The sequence below is a fragment of the Homo sapiens genome, chromosome 3 (genome assembly GCF_000001405.40).
Source record: "Homo sapiens chromosome 3, GRCh38.p14 Primary Assembly".
Classification (NCBI taxonomy): Eukaryota; Metazoa; Chordata; class Mammalia; order Primates; family Hominidae; genus Homo; species Homo sapiens.
The window spans coordinates 139,497,908-139,517,275 of NC_000003.12; the positions used below are offsets into that span (position 1 = coordinate 139,497,908).

General features: G+C 38.9%; 1 long non-coding RNA gene across 1 annotated transcript in view; it reads left to right on the forward strand.

Moving 5' to 3' along the window:
• Positions 1-19,368, forward strand: part of COPB2-DT (COPB2 divergent transcript) — a 193,517-nt gene that overhangs the window by 108,105 nt on the left and 66,044 nt on the right. The window lies entirely within an intron of this gene.

The following is a 19,368-nucleotide window of genomic DNA, read 5'->3' on the forward strand; positions in this document are numbered from 1 at the left end:
TCATTGGTGACAGCAATTACTGGGAGTTTGGCCTTATGATCTGGCTATTTGGTGATCTGTGTAGATAGATGATAGATACCTGTTTGTTGTTGGGTAAGAGATGACAGAGAATCTGGTTTGTTAGTCTTTTTAATTTGTTTTCTGTTCGTTTGAATGTTTGTCTGTTTTGAAACAAATCAATTAGAAATTGCATGGCCACTAGGAAGGAGAATATCTCTTTGATATCTGGATTGGTAAGGGTCTTTAAATTTGCTTTTTGTTTTAAATTTCTGTGTCTCTTGTGTTACTTGACCTGTGGCTAAAATTGTAGAATTGAAGCTATGAGCTTTCTGTCTGTAATTTGGAAAGGCATTTACCTCTCAATGTGTGTATATATATTCCTATTTCTGGAGGGTGTAAGTAAATAAGATTACAAAGTCTTTTAAGTTAAAGGATATTTGTTCTGATTGGTTAATAGAATATATAAATGCCTATATAAAATCCCTAAAACATAAGCTAATTAAATTTCTAATACTTTAATGTGCTATAAAAATGTGCTACAATTGGTTCTTCCTGAAGCTAACTCAGAAACCTTTTAAGAATCTGAATTCACATAATTAAGCAAATATTTGGCAAATGACTAGTTTACCAATGTGAGTTTAATAAAAACAGCTTTGTCTTTTCTGACTTATCACTATTAAGCATAATATAAGCAAACAGCTTATTTTACCTGGGTATGTGTTTCTTATTATTTTTTAACTGATCAAATAAGCTAACATTACTTTTATGTAATGTTTAAGATTGTAAAAAATGTAAATTTATGTCTAAGTGAAGTGAATCCTTATTCTGACACACTTTTTATTTCAACAGTAATTGTGTTTTATAGTATGTCATGTTGAAGATAATTTTTAAGATCTCTAGGTAACTTAAGCCTTATATCGATATTAAATAAATTAATATGTAATCAATAGATATCTAGTTACTAAGTAGGATAGGACACTGACATATATTATTAAGGATAATTTTACTTATTTTTGTATGTTAGAGAAGCTGTAACAATGAGTCATGTTAATAAATGTGCTCACTTTTGCTACACAGGGATGCATGAGACTACAAAAAGTTGTATTATGAATTTTGTTAATCTGCTAAATGCTTTGAGATGACAGAAAGATGTTAATTATCCACTTTCTTGTCTTTTCTGTGAAATAGAAGTTAATTACTTCAGTTAAAAGTTATAATTAATATGAGTGGTTACAACCACACTGGGAACAATAGTGACAGAAAAATGCAACTGAGAATATGCTTTTGTTTTTCCATAAGCAGCAGTTCTTGGAATTTTTGTTCTTCAGATTACTTCACACTTATTGAGGACCTCAAAGAGCTTTTGTATATGTGATTACAACTATTTATATTTACTATATTAAAAATCAAAACTGGGAAATATTTAAAATATCCATTTATTCATTTATTTAAAGATGGCAATGATGAATGTATAGCATGTGATCATAAATAAGAGCTTCATACTATTATAAAATTAGTTTTAAACTTCTGGACCCCCTGATATCTGCATTAGAATAAAAGTGTCACCAGAGTATGAAAGAGCATAATAAAGGCTAAAACTTCAAAGTTAAAGCTTAGTATTTAAGCTACTAAATGTGTTAAAACTTCTACAAAATTCACTCAGTCTTGATGGGCTTGGTTCCTTGATTTACTGATTGTCTTTTCCTACAATGTGAATGGTTATTCTTTTTATGGTAACCAACCTTCCTGATTTGCCTTGAACCACAGGGTTTCCTGGATGTGAAATTTTTGGCGCTAAAACCAAAACATTCCTAGAGAAACCAGGATAGTTGGTTGCCCTATTTACTTTCTGTTAATCTGCCTAGAAAGCAAAGATTCTGTGACTCACCTGAATAGTTGTACATTCTGTATGTTAACTTTATGCTCTTATCTATGAAAAAGTAGAAAAACGAGAAGAAGAAAAAAAAAAGAGGAGGGGGAGGCTGAGGAGTGGGGGTGTGCAGGGGAGAAGAAGGAGGAAGAGGAAGAGGAAAAAATGTCCCTTATTTATGAAAGTAAGTTTTTTCTTTCATGTAGGGTTCTTTACAACCATGTTACCTTGTATATTCATTTTTAAATGTCTTATTGTCACTTTAATAGGAAACCAAATACTATTTCTCAGGCACTCATGAACCTATCTTAATCAAGTGTCCAAATCTTTGACAGCTTTTTTGATTTTTGCCTTTCTAAAATCAGACCTGAAATATAGAAGAAAATAAAATAAAACTTGCAGGACATCTTTTATACCTAAAACAGTTTTTGAGATTTCCCAGAGGATTCCTAGAAAATCAAAAAGATTTGTTCTTTTACTTTATAAAAAGAGATACTGGAAATGATTAGCTTTTGTGGGTTGCATGGAAGAGTTGTCACATCAGACGATCTGTCTTGTGTTCTCTAGATTAAATTTGCATAGGTCAGATGCTATTAATATAAATATTTTAGAAACTTTATGCCTTATGAGTTATTCATCAATGCCTTGCTTTCTGTATATGTTTCAATTTTAAGGAAAACACTGATCAAAAAGTCTTATAAAGTAGTTCTGTTGAATTTTCCTATATTTGTCTGAGTCTTAGTAGTGTTTTACCTGATGATATTGAGCAATAGTGCATTTCAATTGTTGTTTAAAATATTAATTGGCCACAGCCTTTTTTCATTTTTTAAAAAGCTTGAATCGAATAATTTTAGGCCAGTGGTTCTCAATGCACAGATATACTCACAAAGTTTTATAGAAATAGAGAAGTCTAAGCCCTACTCCAGACTTACTGAATCTCTTTTCTTGATATTCTTGGTATGCTATTTACATGCTAAATCTAAGGATTATTGTGTGTTGTAGCTCAATAATTTTTCCTCTATAAAACATATTCATCTAGTTTTATAAAGTGGATATGACATTCACTAATTTCTTAAAAAGTAGACTTAATCATTACCCTAGGAGATATTTGTTTACATTTTTTTCAAGTGAATGGCTTTATTATCTTTGTTTTGCATGCCACCAATCAAACAACCAACTTTCCTTGTTGCATTGTTCTTGCATTATTTTTATTATACATTCTCATCAGTCCTTTTACACTTGAAAATTAATAAAATAATTATAGCTCTGTCATTCATGAGTGGTTTTTGTTTTACTCTAATGCTTATTGAAGTTTCTCCTGTTAGCTACAGGCTGGGGTTGGTGTCTTCAACAAAGAAGGACAGGCTCAGAGTCTTATGGAAAAGGTTACTTCAAATACTGACCCTTCAAAGTATTGATTCTTAGGTAGAGGTATCTGACTTGGAAACACTTAAGCAACTTTCAGATCATATCAGTATAATGAGTGAGGATTTCCAGAACTCTTTTTAGTTGAGGAGCAGACGGCCTCATGAGACTACTCTCTATGTATGCATTTGCATCATCTACAGATATTGATAGTTTTTTCTTTTTATTTCCGATTTTTATACTTTTATTGCTTTTGATTGTCTAAATGTAATGGCTAAACCTTCCAAAAAAGTAGTTAATAATACTGATGACAGTGGACATTTTTGTTTTCTTCTTCTTTTTTTTTTTTTTGAGATGGAGTCTTGCTCTGTCACCCAGGCTGGAGTGCATTGGTGCTGTCTTGGCTCACTTTAAACTACACCTCCTGAGTTCAAGCAATTCTTCTGCCTCCGCCCCACAAGTAGCTGGGATTACAGGTGTGCGCCACCATGCCTGGCTAAATTTTGTATTTTTAGTAGAGACAGGGTTTCACCATATTGGCCAGGCTGGTCTCGAACTGCTGACCTCAGGTGATCCGCCTGCCTCGGCTTCCCAAAGTGCTGGGGATTACAGGTGTGAGCCACCTTGCCCAGCCTGTTTTTTTCTTGATTTTAGTGGAAATACTTTTAGTAGTGTTTTTACGATAAGACTGATTTGTTAGTTTTTAGTTTAATGTATCTTGTTAAGAAGTCAGCCATCCATATCTATTTTACTCAGCATTCATTTTTAAGTTAGTATCAATAATAGATGTTCAGCATTGTATGATTTTCTCTTTTAACATATTAATATAATAAATCACATTGAATCTTCCTTACCTTCTAGGAATTAACACCATTGTTTATGGCATATTTTAAAATGTGCTTTGTGATTATATTTGGTTATATTTATTTAGAATATTTACATGTATATTTATGAATAAGGCTAATATATCATTTTTAAATTTGAGACTATCTTGTCTGTTTGGGGTATGAATACTGTACTGGTTTGTAAAATAAATTTGGAAGCTTTTCTTTTTCCTCTCTCTGTCCTAGATTGTTTTACATAAGAGGTGGTTAGGGTTGGAAGTGAAGACTTAAAGCTGTCATTATTTGAGGTGGTATAATCATTTACCTAGGAAAAATCACAGTCAACACCCAATCCATTAGAACTGATAAGAGAATTCAGAAAGTTTGCCAGATATAAGAGCAACCTACAAAAATCAATAGTATTGCCTTATGCAACCTATAACTTACTAGAAAATATAATAAAAGAGGGAGAAATTATTCACAAGGGCAAGAAATCTACAAAGAGTCTAGGAATTAATAGAAGCAAAAACACACAATATCTCTAAGGAGAAATCTTAAAACTGCCATTAAAGGACACAGAAGATGATTGAATAAAGGGGGAGACAGTCTATGCCCTTGGATTGGATAACTTAACATTGCAAAGATTTATATTGCCCACAAATTCATCTATAAACTCAATGTATTCCCAAATGAAATTCCATGTAGATGTTTTTGGGAATATGATAAATTCACTCTAAAATTCATATGGAGGAATAAAAGTCCATGTATAGCTAAGTCTTTATAAAGAACAGTGAAGGATGGGGATTTATCTTACCAGATATTAAGATATACTACAAAGCCAAAGTAATAAATATACAATGATATTGACACAAGTTTAGATAAACAGACCAGTGGAGCAAAATACAGAGTTCAGAGACAGACCACTGTGTATGTGGGAAGTTAGTGTACAGTGAAAGTGCCACTATGATTCAATGGGAGAGGAACAGAGAGTGAGCAAACTGGTTCATTATACAGAGAGAAATAAGACCAGATATCTTGCCAACACCACATACAAAGGTGCATTCTATGTTAATTAAAGACCTAACTGTGAATGGTAAAACTACAACATTTTAAGAAGATGTAGGAGATTATTTCTGTACCTAAGAAGGAAAGACTTCTTAAACAAAACTTCAGAAACACAAACTATCACGCAAAAAATTATATTTATTACATATAAATTAAGAGTTTCTGGAAAAAAATAGAAAAATTTCTAACATTCCAAAAATAATAGTAAAGAAATTTCTAACATTCTAAAAGAAAATTAAGGATTTCTGTTCAACAAAGGATACTACTGAGAAGGCTAATTTATAACAGAATGAGAGAAAACAGTTGCAATATCCAAACCAACAAATGAATATTAATAATATCTACTACAAGCACAGAAGGTAAAACTCAAAATTCTAACAAATATGTGAAATGGTATGCAAACTTATTAGGAGTCAGGGAAATGTGAATTAGACAATAATGAAGTATAACTTTATAGTTGTTAAACCAGCCAAAGGTAGAAGGTGGATAATTCCAAGTGTGGTAGTGATACACAGGACAGAAGGATATGGGAGCTTGAGGATGTGTAGATGGTACAGCCACCTCAAACATAGTCTGGCCCTATTCAGTCAAACACATTGTCTATGCATTCCCTAGACCCTTCCACTTCTGGAGTACATATCTTGAGGCAATTCTCACATAGATCCATGAGTGGCCTGTATAGGGACATTGTAGGAACTTGTGTATCCCATACTGGCAAGGTGAAGAGGTAAAATGTGGTAAATGTACATCATGAAATATTATAAAACTATTAGAAGCAATTAATTAAATGTGTACAGAGCAACATGAATGAACCCCCCTCCCAAATGAATGAAGCAAAAAAAAATGTAGGAAACACAATGAGATATATAACACAATCTCATTTACATAAGTTAAAAATATAGTACCATGGAACAATGCACATCTTGTAAAAATATGCTAACATTAAAGTGGAGAGAATGAAAGAACAAAGACAAAAAGGAACAAAGTTATACACACACACACACACACACACACACACACACACACACACGAAACCTTGAAAGAAAAAATGCAGTAGTATCATTTGCCCCTTGAAGATTTAATTAAAAATTGCCTATGATACCATCTGGGCATGGTGCTTTTGTGGGAAAGGATATTTCCTTGATAACTTTCTTGATTTCATCTAAGGCAATTGGTCTCTTTAGATTTTCTGCCTATTCTAGGACCAGTTTTGGTGTTTCTTATTTTACTTGAAAATTTTCCATTTTTTGAGGAAATAATTGTATTTACTTTTATTTCCTCTGTATCAGTGGCTGTTTCCCCATTCTATTTTTAGTTTTATGTATTTGTGATTTCTTATTTTTTCTTAGTTTGGTTATTAGGTAGTAGTGTCTTTATTTTTAAATATCCAACTCTTAGATTTGTTTTATTTTTGTTTTCAGTGTCATTAATTTCTGCTTGTTGCTTTAGCAATTTCTTCCTCCTATTGTCCTTATGCTTATTATTATTATTATTGTTATTTTTTTTTTTGAGATGGAGTTTCGCTCTGTCCCCAGGCTGGAGTGCAGTGGCGCGATCTCGGCTCACTGCGAGCTCTGCCTCCCGGGATTCACGCCATTCTCCAGCCTCAGCCTCCTGAGTAGCTGGGACTACAAGCACCTGCCACCATGCCTGGCTAATTTTTTGTATTTTTAGTAGAGACGGGGTTTCACTGTGTTAGCTAGGATGGTCTGGATCTCCTGACCTCGTGATCCGCCTGCCTCAGCCTCCCAAAGTGCTGGGATTACAAGCATGAGCCACCGCGCCCAGCCGATTTATTCAAGTTTTCTATAGATTCTTTGTCAGATGCACAGTTTGCAAATATTTTTTCCTATTCTGTAGGTTGTGTGTTTACTCTGTTGATTGTTTTGTTTTGTTTTGCTGGGCAGAAGCTCTTTAGTTTAATTAGGTCCCAATTGTCAATTTTTGTTTTTGTTGCATTTGCTTTTGAAAATTTAGTCATAAATTCTTTGCCTGGACCAGTGCCCAGAAGTGTATTTCTATGTTTTATTCTCAGATTTTTGTAGTTTGAGGTCTTACATTTAAATCTTTAATCCATCTTGTGTTAATTTTTGTATATGATTAGAGATACGGATCCAGTTTCATTCTTCTGCATATGGTTAGGGAGTTTTCACAGAACCATTTATTGACTAGCGTATCTTTTCCCCATTGTTTATTTTTGCTGACTTTGTCAAAGATCAGTGGGTTGTAGGTGTGCAGTTTTATTTCAGGGTTCTGTATTCTGTTCCATTGGTTTATGTGTCTATTTCTGCACTAGTACCAGCTAGCATTTAGTATTATCAGTATTTTTAATTTTTGCCATTCTAACAAGTATTTAGTGGTATGTCACTGTGGTTTTAATGTGGATTTTCTTAATGTCTAATTGTGTTAAACATCTTTTAATGTGTTTGTTTACTATCTCTGTTTCTTCACTGGTGGAATGTCCACTCAAGTCTTTTGCCCATTTTCTTATTGGATTTTTTTTTTATTTAACTGGTGAGTTTAGAGAGTTCCATATTGTTTTAGATATGAGTCCTTTGTCAAATATGTAATTTGCAAATATTTTTCCCATGTAGTTTTAATATTATCACCAATTTCTAACCATTTTGCTATTTAAATTTTGATTTACAGTTTAATTCAAAGGTTTTTAAGGGAGTAAGTAGAATACAAAAAGAATAAAATTTATTAATGATATAATGTTAGCCAGCAGTGGTTATCTAGGGCAAAGGGAAAGTCATCTTGCTTAGGTAGGGCTTTTAGCTGAGTCTTGAAGAATAGGCAGGGCTTGGGGGGAAAAATCTGTGGTTGATTACAGCAACCTTGAGGGTTTATTAATCAGGGGCTATAAAATAATGAGAGTCCCAAAGTGCAAAAGAGCAGAGATTTTCTGAAGACATATCCAAGCATTATCTTCATACCCCAGATTAGGTGATGCAATGCCCACCTCATCTGAAGAACAGCACCCTCTCAGAGGTGGCCTCTTTTGTGGGCCAAAGGTCCCCACCTATGGCTACGTGGCAGGAAGATTTCTTAACACGGTCTGGAGGTCTTCATAGAAGGGCCATAAATGTAAGCATGATCAAGGTTGGGCTGATAAACACACTGTGTGAAGTTCAGGCTATTAATTAACTTATTGCACAGTTTTGTACCCAGTAACTTAGAGAACTCAGGGAGCAGCAGAGAGGGAGAGGTGAACAGCATGAGACTAGGTCCTGCCTGGCTAGAGAAAGTCTAATGGAGGCCCTGTGGTCATCAAATGGGTCAGTAAGAAAGAGTTCCTTGATATGCAACCTGACTTGGCCCCTGTCTGCCAAGATTTCAGCAGAACCAAACCAACTGAAATTGAGTAAACTTAGTTAGAAAAGAGTGACTCAAGGAGGGCTTCTTGGAGGAAGCACTTTTTGAGCAAGTTCGTAAGAATTGCTAGAAAGGGAAGGATCAGGCATTTTTCAGGAGAAAATGGGAAGGAAAATAATGTCGTGCAGGAGCCATCACATTCACTTCAGGAGACAAGCCTAGCTCAAACAGAAAGAGAGTGTTCAGATTTTCAGAAAAGGGACTTCAGGGGGCTTTAAACACCAAAATGAGCAGGGCAGATGCTACATGACAGGAATTAAGGTGCTACTGTGGGCACTGGAAGTTCCCTGAAACTAACTCCCCTGCCACTTCTCACAGTGTCTGAGACATCACAGAGGGTCTAAGAGCACTTTTTTGGATTAAGGCCTTGCTCCCTTAAGGTTCTTCTTTTAGAAGCAGAAAGATACTTCTTCCTTCTGGTAATGCCCCCACACAATGGACCAGCCTACAGCGCTACACCTGGGGTTGTGTATCTGTGCTTGCTAGAAATATCCCCTTAGCTTTGGAAGTATTTAACCCCCTTGCAGGGAGTCTTTCTAGATTCCTGCATCTCACACTGCCCTCTAGATGCCAGCAAGCTCCTGGAGCACTGGCCCTCTGGAGTACTCATTCAGTCCCTTGTCCTGATGTGACATTTCCTGAGTGAATGGCCAGTCATGGTTTCAGCACTGAGCCAGTGGTCAACACACATTTACCGAGGAATGAAAGACTTCAGGGAGATATCTCAATCCCCCAAGGCCATTTTGAAATTGTTATCTGATATTGCTCTCATTTATTTATTTTATTTCATTGGGGTTATTGCTCTTGTTGTAGTTGTTCTTGTTCTTGTTTGTCTTGGTGTTTTTGTTTCGTGGCTTATAATAACAGAAATTTATTCTCTCAGTTCAGGAGGCCAGAAGTAAGAAAAAAATCGAGATGTTGGCAGGGTTGGTTCCTTCTGCAGGTTCCAAGGGGAGAATCTGTTCAATGGTCCCTGCTATCTTCTAGTGGTTGCCAGCAACCCTTGGCATTCTTTGTCTTGTGAACACATCACTCCAGTTTTTGCCTCCATATTCACATTGCCTCCTTCTGTGTGTGTGTCTCTATCTCTTATAAAGAGAGACTCATTGGATTTAGGGACCACCATAATCCGGTATGATCTCATCTCAATCTCTACCTTAATCACATTTCCATTGAGTTAATTAAGTAATTAAGTTGATAGGAGAACTGGCATCTTATTCTATCCTTTAGTTTTGGACTCTTTAGGATTCAGAACAAGTTGAGGTTTGTTAGCTCTTTCCCCCACCTGCTACAGGGTCCCCTTTTTGTAGCTTCTTGGCACCCAGACTGTGCAATGTGTCCTCATGAGAAGGGAAGAGTCTTTGGCATCACAGAGACCCAGGTGCCAATCCCAGTGCTGCCTCTTAGTTCTGCCTACAAAACCCTGCAGAGTGGAAAGAAAGTCTTGCTGTGAACTGGTGTGCCAGACACATGGGGTTCACAAGACAGGGCACAGCAGTCCTTCCTGGTTCCAGAAACCAACCTGATTGTGTATCTGAGAGTTCCTTTATTAGTTATTGATTGCTTTGTAACAGATTACCCCAAGACTTAGTAGTTTGAAATAACACAAATATTTATTATTTTACAGTCCTCTGGGTCCAGAATTTAAGAGTAGCTTAGCTGGGCTGGAGAATCTTCTCTTAATGGTGGCTCACAGGCTGTGGGTGAGAAGTCTCAGTTGCTCTCCACATGTGCCTTTCCACAGGGCTGCTCGAATGTCCTCATGACCTAGTGGCTGGCTTCCTTCAGATCAAGTGGTCCAGAAGAGAGAGCAAGGAGAAAGCTATACCTCTTGTGACCTAGAGTTGGAAGTCACACACCATTACTTCTGCTGCCAGTCCACATTCAAGTGAAAGGAAATTAGTCTGCACCTTTTGAAGAAGCTGTGTCAAAGAATTTGCCAAAATATTTTAAAACCACCTCAGCTCTCTTCTCCTCTAGGTCTCTATCCTCCTTCTCCACTGCTTCATCTACTTAAGTCTTATCACCACTCTGCTCCCCTCACCTCCTATCTCCCACCTCCAGGGTCTAGGATCTGTTAGAATGGTGTGTTTGTGGTAGTGGGGTGGTGGGTGCCAGATTAGATCTTAGAAGTCCTAGGCAGCATTGGAGGGGGCTTTAGTTCCTTCTAGTTTTAAAACTTAAATGTACTTAAGTTTTAAAACTTAAGGGTGTGGTGACTCGCGCCTGTAATCCCAGCACTTTAGGAGGCCAAGGCGGGTGGATCACCTGAGGTCAGGAGTTTGAGACCAGCCTGATCAACATGGTGAAACCCCATCTCTACCAAAAATGCAAAAATACAAAAATACAAAAAAAAAAAATTAGCTGAGTGTAGTGGTGCAGGCCTGTAATCTCAGCTACTTGGGAGGCTGAGGCAGGAGAATTGCTTGAATCAGAGAGACAGGTTGCAGTGAGCTGAGATCATGCCATTGCACTCCAGCCTGGGCGACAAGAATGAAACTCTGTATCAAAAACAAACAAACAAACAAACAAACTTAAATGTCTACAGGAAAATTCTCTGGTTAACACTGAGACTACCTCCTGTTATATAACCTCAATGCTCACAAAAATCTCTTATTCTGTAGTTCAAATAAAAGATGAATGAGGAAAGAAAAAAATGGGTTAGGAAGAAAGAATATCTTATTTTGACATATATAAGTGCATACTTTTAACCAATTTTATTAACTTCTCAGAGATTCAATTTATTTATCAAGAAGATGGGGATAATAATATTTATCTCACAAGACTGTTATGTTAGGACTATTTTAGTTGCAAATAATAGAACCCCAACTCATACTAGTTAAGGGTTGGGTTTGCTTATTGACTTATAAGTAAAAAGTACAGGGTTAGGACTGACTTCAGGAAGGACTGACTCCTGCTGCTTAAATAAGGAAGCACCTCTTCATCTCTTGTGCCCTGCTGTCCTCCATGTTGGCCTCAGGAACAGAGGTGCAACAAGCAAATTGGCAGTGGTCCACTACACTCATGGTGAAGATCGAAGGATATAAAGGAAATAAACTGCCCTGCACTTTTGATGGGAATTTTTTTCTGGATTCTTCTGCTTTCCCATCTCTCTCTCTCTCTATATGTGATCATTCAATAAGTCCTTTGGATTCTCCCTTAGCATTGCTGCTTGCAAACACCCCTCCTCTCCATTCCACTGCCTTGATGTGGCCTCCTACCGCCACTCCTGGACTACTGGGGCACCTGAACCTGAATCTGGCTCCAGATGATCCATTATTCCCACACACCTCTGAACAGCCCCTTGGCTACAGAGGTCCATGTGGATGGTTTATGCCAGAGAAAGCTGGCTGCAGATGGGTGGTAGAGCAAGCTAGCTGAGATGGAGTGGAGATGTATTGTAGTCATGGTGCTGGCACCACATTTCCCAGTGCAGCCCTAGAAACCAGAGCACCTGTGAGCTGAGGGAGACCAGATGGCCAGAGTGCACTGCAGCTTCTCAGCTTCCACTCACAAGCAGCTTCACCCTCCATCTTCCCTTCCAGGAGAAGTGATTGCTTTCCGTACTTTGATCTACAGTGGAAAGTGCCTGCCTAACCCTGCCAACCAGCTCTGCAAGGGGATTCACAGTGAAGCCAGATGGAGTTTGATTTTGTTCAGGCTTATTTATTTTAAATTTTATTTATTTTAATTTGCTTTTAAAAAAGTTTTTAATCATGAAATATTTCAAACATCTATAGAAGCAGCCAAGATAGTTGAATGAATTCCATATACCCATCACCCAGCTTCAAAATTTATCAACTCATGGCAAGTCTCATTTCAACTCCATTCCTGCTATTATTTTCCTCCTCAGTTATCTTGAAACAAATCCCAGACATTATGCCCTTTTACCCATAAATATTTTAGCATATATTTCTAAAAGAGAACTTTTAACATACATGACCTTAATGCCATTGTCACACCTGAAAATTTAGCAGTACAGTATTTTTGGTAATATCAAATATCCAATCAGTTTACAAATTTCCCTAATTACCTTTTTAAAGTTTATTTTGTTTTTACAGTTTATTTGTTCAAATTAGCCTTCAAATACAGGCCATGTAGTACAATGGATTGATATGTCTCCTGAATCTCCTTTAGTCTGTGGGTTCCTTCTTGGTTTCTTTTTTGTTCCTTGCAATTTATTTCAAGAAGAAACCAGTCTTCTGTAGAATTTCTCTCAGTCTACATTTTACTGATTGCATCCCTATAATGTCCTTTAATTTGTCCCTCTATCTCTGCATTTTCTGTAAATTTGTAGCTAGATCCAAAGTCTTGATCAGGTTCAGAGTTGACCTCTTGGCAGACCACGTCATAGGTGCTGTGTTGTAGGAGGCACAAGCACCTCCTGGTTGCCTCTCTATTTTATGATATCACTGCCTTGATTCATTCATTCATTAGGAGGTATTAGCTTTTTCTTAATTATAAAGAGAATATATTCTCATTTTAAAATGACTTAAATCATATAACATGATATAAAATGAAAAGTAAAAGTCAAGTGTCATGCTTTTCCTCCTGGCCCTCTAAGTTCCACACTTCAGAGCTAAACATGTTTACAAGTGATCATGTATTTGAAGTAATTTAAAAAATTGAGTTGGGCTTGGTGGCTCACTCCTGTAATCCCAGCACTTTGGGAGGCTGAGGCGGGCAGATCACGAGACCAGGAGTTCAAGACCAGCCTGGCCAATATGGTGAAACCCTGTCTCTACTAAAAATATAAAAAATAGCCAGGTGTGGTGGCAGGCGCCTCTAGTCCCAGCTACTTCAGAGCCTGAGGCACCGGAATTGCTTGAACCTGGGAGGCAGAGGTTGCAGTGAGCCGAGATTGTACCATTGCACTCCAGCCTGGGTGACAGAGTGAGACTCCATCTCAAAAAAAAAAAAATTGATATAATTACTTCAAGAAGGTGAGAGGGTATGTATGGCAGAGATATGCTAAGTGTAGCCTCCCCACCCCACAAACTCACATGATTATGTATAAAACAAAGCTATTATATGTATAAGACTCATATAATAAAAGTATAAGTGTATATTATATATAATATTATATTTATATAAACATTATAGAAAAAAATAGCAATACAAGACAACCATCTTGGGAAATCTCAAGAGGTACGTGATAATTACCAAATTAGTGGCTATTTTAGAAAATATTCTTATAGTTTAAAGTAACAAAATTCTACTGGCTTAAGCCTGAAAGAGAAATGTGATATGAAGCTACAGGAATAAGTCTTAAGGTCTTCCAGTGGGAAGTGTCACTTGGCCTGACAAAGGATTATTGTGTCCACAATCTAAAAAGCCACCAGGAACATGGAAACTTCCATTGCAGGCTTCTCTCTGCATATTTGCTTTATTTTTCTCTCTGCAGACCAGCTTTTTCTGCCTTGGTATACACAGGTCAACAGAACACTCCTTTCCCCTCCTGCCCCACCAAAACTCAGGCTCTGGATCCTCAATTTGAGCAACAACAGAGACTCACCAGCATCTCTGAATTCTCATTCCAGATTTCCAGGGGAGAGCTGTTTGGTGTCATGAGTCAGGTGTCTATCTAACCTGGTCAATCAGCTATGGCTGTGGGCCAGGCTGGAAAGAACAGACATGGCAGCAGCTTCCTCTCCTGCCTGGCACCATGGGTACGAGAGGCTGGTCTCAGGGAAGAGAAGAGGGCTATGAGATAGGCAGATACCCATCAAAAGGTGTGGCAGTCAGTGTGCTTTATTGCAAACAGAACGCACTATAGCTCAAGTGGAAAAGGAATTACAGAATTTTAGGTATCCCACAGATCTCTAGGATCAAGCCTAAAGGCTATGCATCAGGGAGCAATACACAATCTACACTGCAGTACTACTCAGTGTCCACCGCCAATGTAGATAATGCCCATGACACTGGACAGCAGGAACCAGAAGCTCTACCACTGGTGCTGTCCCAAAGCCATTCCTCTGCTGCCACCATTTCCAAAGGATCAAATCCATATAATCTACCTTCCTCACATGGCTCTCTTTCCAAATCTCTTCACTGGGGTGCATCTAATTAGGGGAACCTCAGCCTTATGCCTGAAGCATGGTTGCAAGATCAGCTGAAAAAGTGAGTTCATCCTGCTGTTAATACCTAGGAGAGATGGAATTCCTAGCTGGGTGGAAGGAAATTCCCCAAACACGGGAGAGTTGTTCAAAAGATGGTGGGCAGCCACAAACAAGACCAATGACTACTAGATGTGTCTAAGATGGTAAGACTGAGTTAAATGTTAGGAGCTCAAACAGGGCCTCCAATGGGGAATGCAGTGTTGAAGGCAGGGACTATTTGGCCCAGATATCACATTCATGAAAGACTTTGCAACTTTTGATATTATCTCCAAATGAAATTACACACAAAGGTTGAAGAGAGACAGCGATGGGACAGAATGAAGTTGTTCTCCGCCTGTAAACTGTGCATGATGATTGGACCAGACTGCCCCAGTTACACTATGAATTCATAAATTTTATAAGTCCCATGCTTATTTTGGAACTAGCACCACCTAATTATGTTACATTGTATTTAATTTGTTATATGTAATCACTTAAAATAATCTTCAACTTTTGTAATTCTGATCTAGTATTTCTTTATTGGGGGCACCTGTTTCAGAAAGTAGAAGTGGCCAGGATCACCTTTGAGAGGCTCAGCGCTCAAACAAGGGGGATCTTGTGGGCTGTTGGTTGTCTCTGAAGGACTGGTAGGGTTTATTTTGATAATTGGAGGGGGGATAGGAAATGTCATTATTAAGTGTCCCTCTCAGAGTGAATCAAATATATATGTGTATATATATATACATGCAGTGTTGGCATGGATAGGGAACAGCTAGGAGAGTTACACAGGTGCAATCGCAGTGTTGAGCTGTTTAATTTGCTCCTGAAAGGAGCAATAGTCGTGCCCTGGTTAATTGAGACAGAAGTTATACATTAGGGCTTCCAGAGAGGCCCTTGGGGTTCAATTTGCCATGTTTTTCTTGTGGAAAGATTTTGGAGGTTGCCCAGGGAATATTTTAGGAGTCTTGGGAGTTTAGGGTCCGAAGTCTGTCCTCCCACCAGCTCTGTGATTTCGGGTCATGGTGTCTGTGCATCAGAAGCTCCAATGTCCTGACTAGTATCTTGTGTGTGTGTGTAGAGAGAGGGGTGGCAGACAACCTGCAGCTGGGTTTGCATCCTCAGGAGGTAAAAGCCCTGTCCTAGCCCCTCTCCTTGCTACTGAGACAGTGTCTGGGGGCTTCCCGCCCTAGCCAGGCTACCCACTAATCTCCCTCCTCAATTTCTATTAAATGCTTCCCTGGCTCTCCCTGGGTTTCAGTTTCTATCCATGCCCTGTGAGCAAAAAGTCATGTGGATTCCACTCCTGAGGTGCCTCTCAGGCCCATTTAAAAAAAAAAAGAAGAAAAAACCCCACATGTAAATCGGCTTGTTATATACCAGACACTGTTCAAATCTCTTTGCAAATAAAATATATCTACTCTAAGTTGCTTACATGTATTAGATTCATTTAATCCTTACAAAACATCTATGAGTAGTAGTTAGCCTCAATTTACAGATGAATAAACTGAGGCACAGAGAGTTTGCATGACTTGCCTTAACTTCACAGAACTAGGAAGTGGCAGAGCTGGGATTTTAACCCCGGCCCTGTGCCTCCAGAGCTTGGACACTCAACCACTTCACGCTCTGCCTTTCCTCACTGAGGGCCTGTTACTGCGCTGGGCTCAGCTTCAGTGCATCCTGCCAGAGTTACTTCACATGACAGTCCTACTTTTTAAAAACTTGCAGTTATGTAATGTATATATATTAATAAAGATTCAGAGGCCAGGCGCGGTGGCTCCTGCCTGTAATCCCAGCACTTTGGGAGGCCGAGGCGGGCAGATTACTTGAGGCCAGGAATTTGAGACCAGCCTGGCCAACACGGCAAAACCTCGTCTCTACAAAAAATACAAAAATTAGCTGGGCATGGTGGCTGATGCCTGTAATCCCAGCTACTCGGGAGGCTGAGAAAGGAAAATTGCTTGAACCCGGGAGGCGGAGGTTGCAGTGAGCCAAGATCACCACTGCACTCCAGCCTGGGCGACACATGAGACTCTGTCTCAAAATAAATAAATAAAAAATAAAGACTCAGAGTATGTTTTGAAATATTGTAACTTTCAGTTCAAAAATGTCAAAAATCCTGTACTTTTCAAGGTGGCAGGCCCAGGGAATTGTCAGATGTGGTTAACTCTACTTCCACAGCCTAGAGGTACCAGGTAAGCTGATAAATACACAACCTCCATCCTTTGTCAGTCCTCGTGGGCATCACAGCCATGCTTTGGAAATTCACAGAGTTATTTCTTTATTAATGCCCAGTTATGTTATCAGGTGCTGTTAGAATTGAAAATCTTTTTTTATATCCTATAACAATGGCATCCAAGTGCTGGTTAAGTGTGGAACTTGCAGTAGTGTTCCAAAAATGGAGCGAACATCAGTAGCTTTGGACCAGAGGTGAGAGGTGCTAACATGCCACCAAGAAGCCCGAACGACCCCCGTGATGCATGCTGCCACCAACTTAGGAGCAAGCCCTCTGCAAATTTTGGATAGTGCTGAGAAAATGAAAAGCAGCATTAAAGCCAAAAGTCTGTTTCTGTGGTTATAGATTTATGTAAAATAGGAAACATTCCTCTTACTTTACATGTATTTCTTTGGGAAGATTAATCTCATATGAAGTGAATTTCGAATTAAATGTGACTGTCCTGTGCTAACTGGTATTCCTCACTCTTTTTTTTTTCTTACTACCAAGAGAATGGCTGCCTGATTAATTCTGCTCAGAGGATGATCATGTCACTTTTCTGCTCAAAAACCTCCTGTGGCTCCCCACTGCCCACTAAGATCAGTCCCAGTATTCAAGCTGTTCAATCAGCGTGGGACTGAATCTTCCCATGGGACCAGAGGTTCCTGAGGGTAGGGCCACAACTCCTACATTCCGTGCACACTTAGGCTAACAAGGCCGTAATTTTGAGTCCTCCATCAGAACTTAACTGTTGGGTGAGGCTTTTATGCATTGGGGGTGGAGGTGTGATGGAAGTTGCAATACCTGGGATGGGATGGGAACTTGCGGTGTTTCAAACATTTCTGCATGCCCAAGAAGATTAGTGCCTGGCACATAATAGATCTTCATTAAATATGTGTGTGATGAATGAATGGTCTTTATAAGACTCTTTACCTTTGAGTTTTCCAACCTCAGGAACAGAGACCAGGGCCACAGCGGTGCAGGGGTCTACAGAATATTATGCAATTTTGAGTTTTCATTTCCTTGTCTAGGCTAGGGAAATGATTCCTATAATAAAAAAAAGCATTTCTTACATTTGTGTGAGGCAGGGTTTCTCAATGTCACGACTATTGACATTTTGGGTGGGATAATTATTTGTTGTGAGAGCTTTCCTGTGCATAATAGGATGTTTAGCAGTATCCGTAGCCACTAACCAATAGATGCTAATAGTGCCCTGCACCCAAGTTGTGAAATAAAGTGTGTCTCCAGATATCGCTAAATATCTCTAACCCTGGGGGTGGAATGAGCACTGACTGACCCCCCAGTTGAGAACCCTGAAACTGGTCTAGGGCACCAGTTTTCAACTCCAGTTGCATATTAAAATCACCTGGGGGAACCTTAAAAACATAAGTAGTGGCCGGTGCAAAGGCTTACACCTGTAATCCCAGCATTCTGGAAGGCTGAGGCAGGATTGCTTGAGCCCAGGAGTTCAAGACCAGACTGGGCAACATGGTGAAACCCCATCTATACAAAAAATACAAAAATTAGCCAGGCATCATGGCACACACCTGTAGTCCCAGCTACTTGGGAGGCTGAGGCAGGAGGATTGCTTGAGCCTAGGAGATGGAAGTTGCAGCAAGTCAAGATCGTGCCACTGCATTCCAGCCTGGGCAGCGGAATAAGACCCGCTCAAAAAATAAGCAAACAACATAGTATGCCTGGTATTTTGAAACATTTAGATGTAATTGGTTGTAGGGAGTGGCCTGTGCATATGGAATTTTGAAAACTCTCCAAGTGGTTCTAACATTTAGCCAGGTCTGAGAACTACTGGTCCAGTGCTTTGCAGGTTACAAGTTTCACAACCCACCTGTGCAGTAGGTGAGGCAGGTTCGTTTTGTGGTTTTCTGACTGGAGAAGTGAAGTCCAGAGGAGTGTGGTGTTGCCCTGTGAGTGCTGAAGTTGGGATTTTTACTCAGCTGTTCTGACTCCTAACTCTTGTCAAGGAGTAGGGCATAGTCTGGGCATATTGTCAGATTCACAAAGGGAGTCCTCCATGTGTCTTCTCTTTTCCAATTGTTTTCCCTATCCACGATCTCTCACATCCTCACTCCTGTTTGTGTTTCTTTATGCAAAGGTGCAGCTAGCAATCTCCTACACTTTAGTGTGAACGTGAGGCTGCTCTGTCTCTTTTAGGGGGAATTGCAAGTTCTGCTTCATCTACAACAGTGAAAAGAAAGGGCTGATACCAGCCCGTAGATGGGGTGGATGGTCTGAGGGTGGTGACATCTCATGACATCTCTGAAATTAAATCCAATAGGTAATTACTTATGTTTAAGTAATTTTATGCTTTGGGCTTAAAATTCTGTCCAGTTCCATTTCATTCACAAATAATGATGAAGCATCTCCTTGGTGTACTGTGCAGTTATATAGACATTCTCTGTTGGTTGGATCTCTAGGGTGGAAGGTATCTTCTCCTGCTTTTGTGGCACTCACTATACTTTGGCCACAATTAGATACATAACATGGTAGCTACTTGATACACAAATGATTGAATGTCAGGCCACTCTCCCACCTCCCATT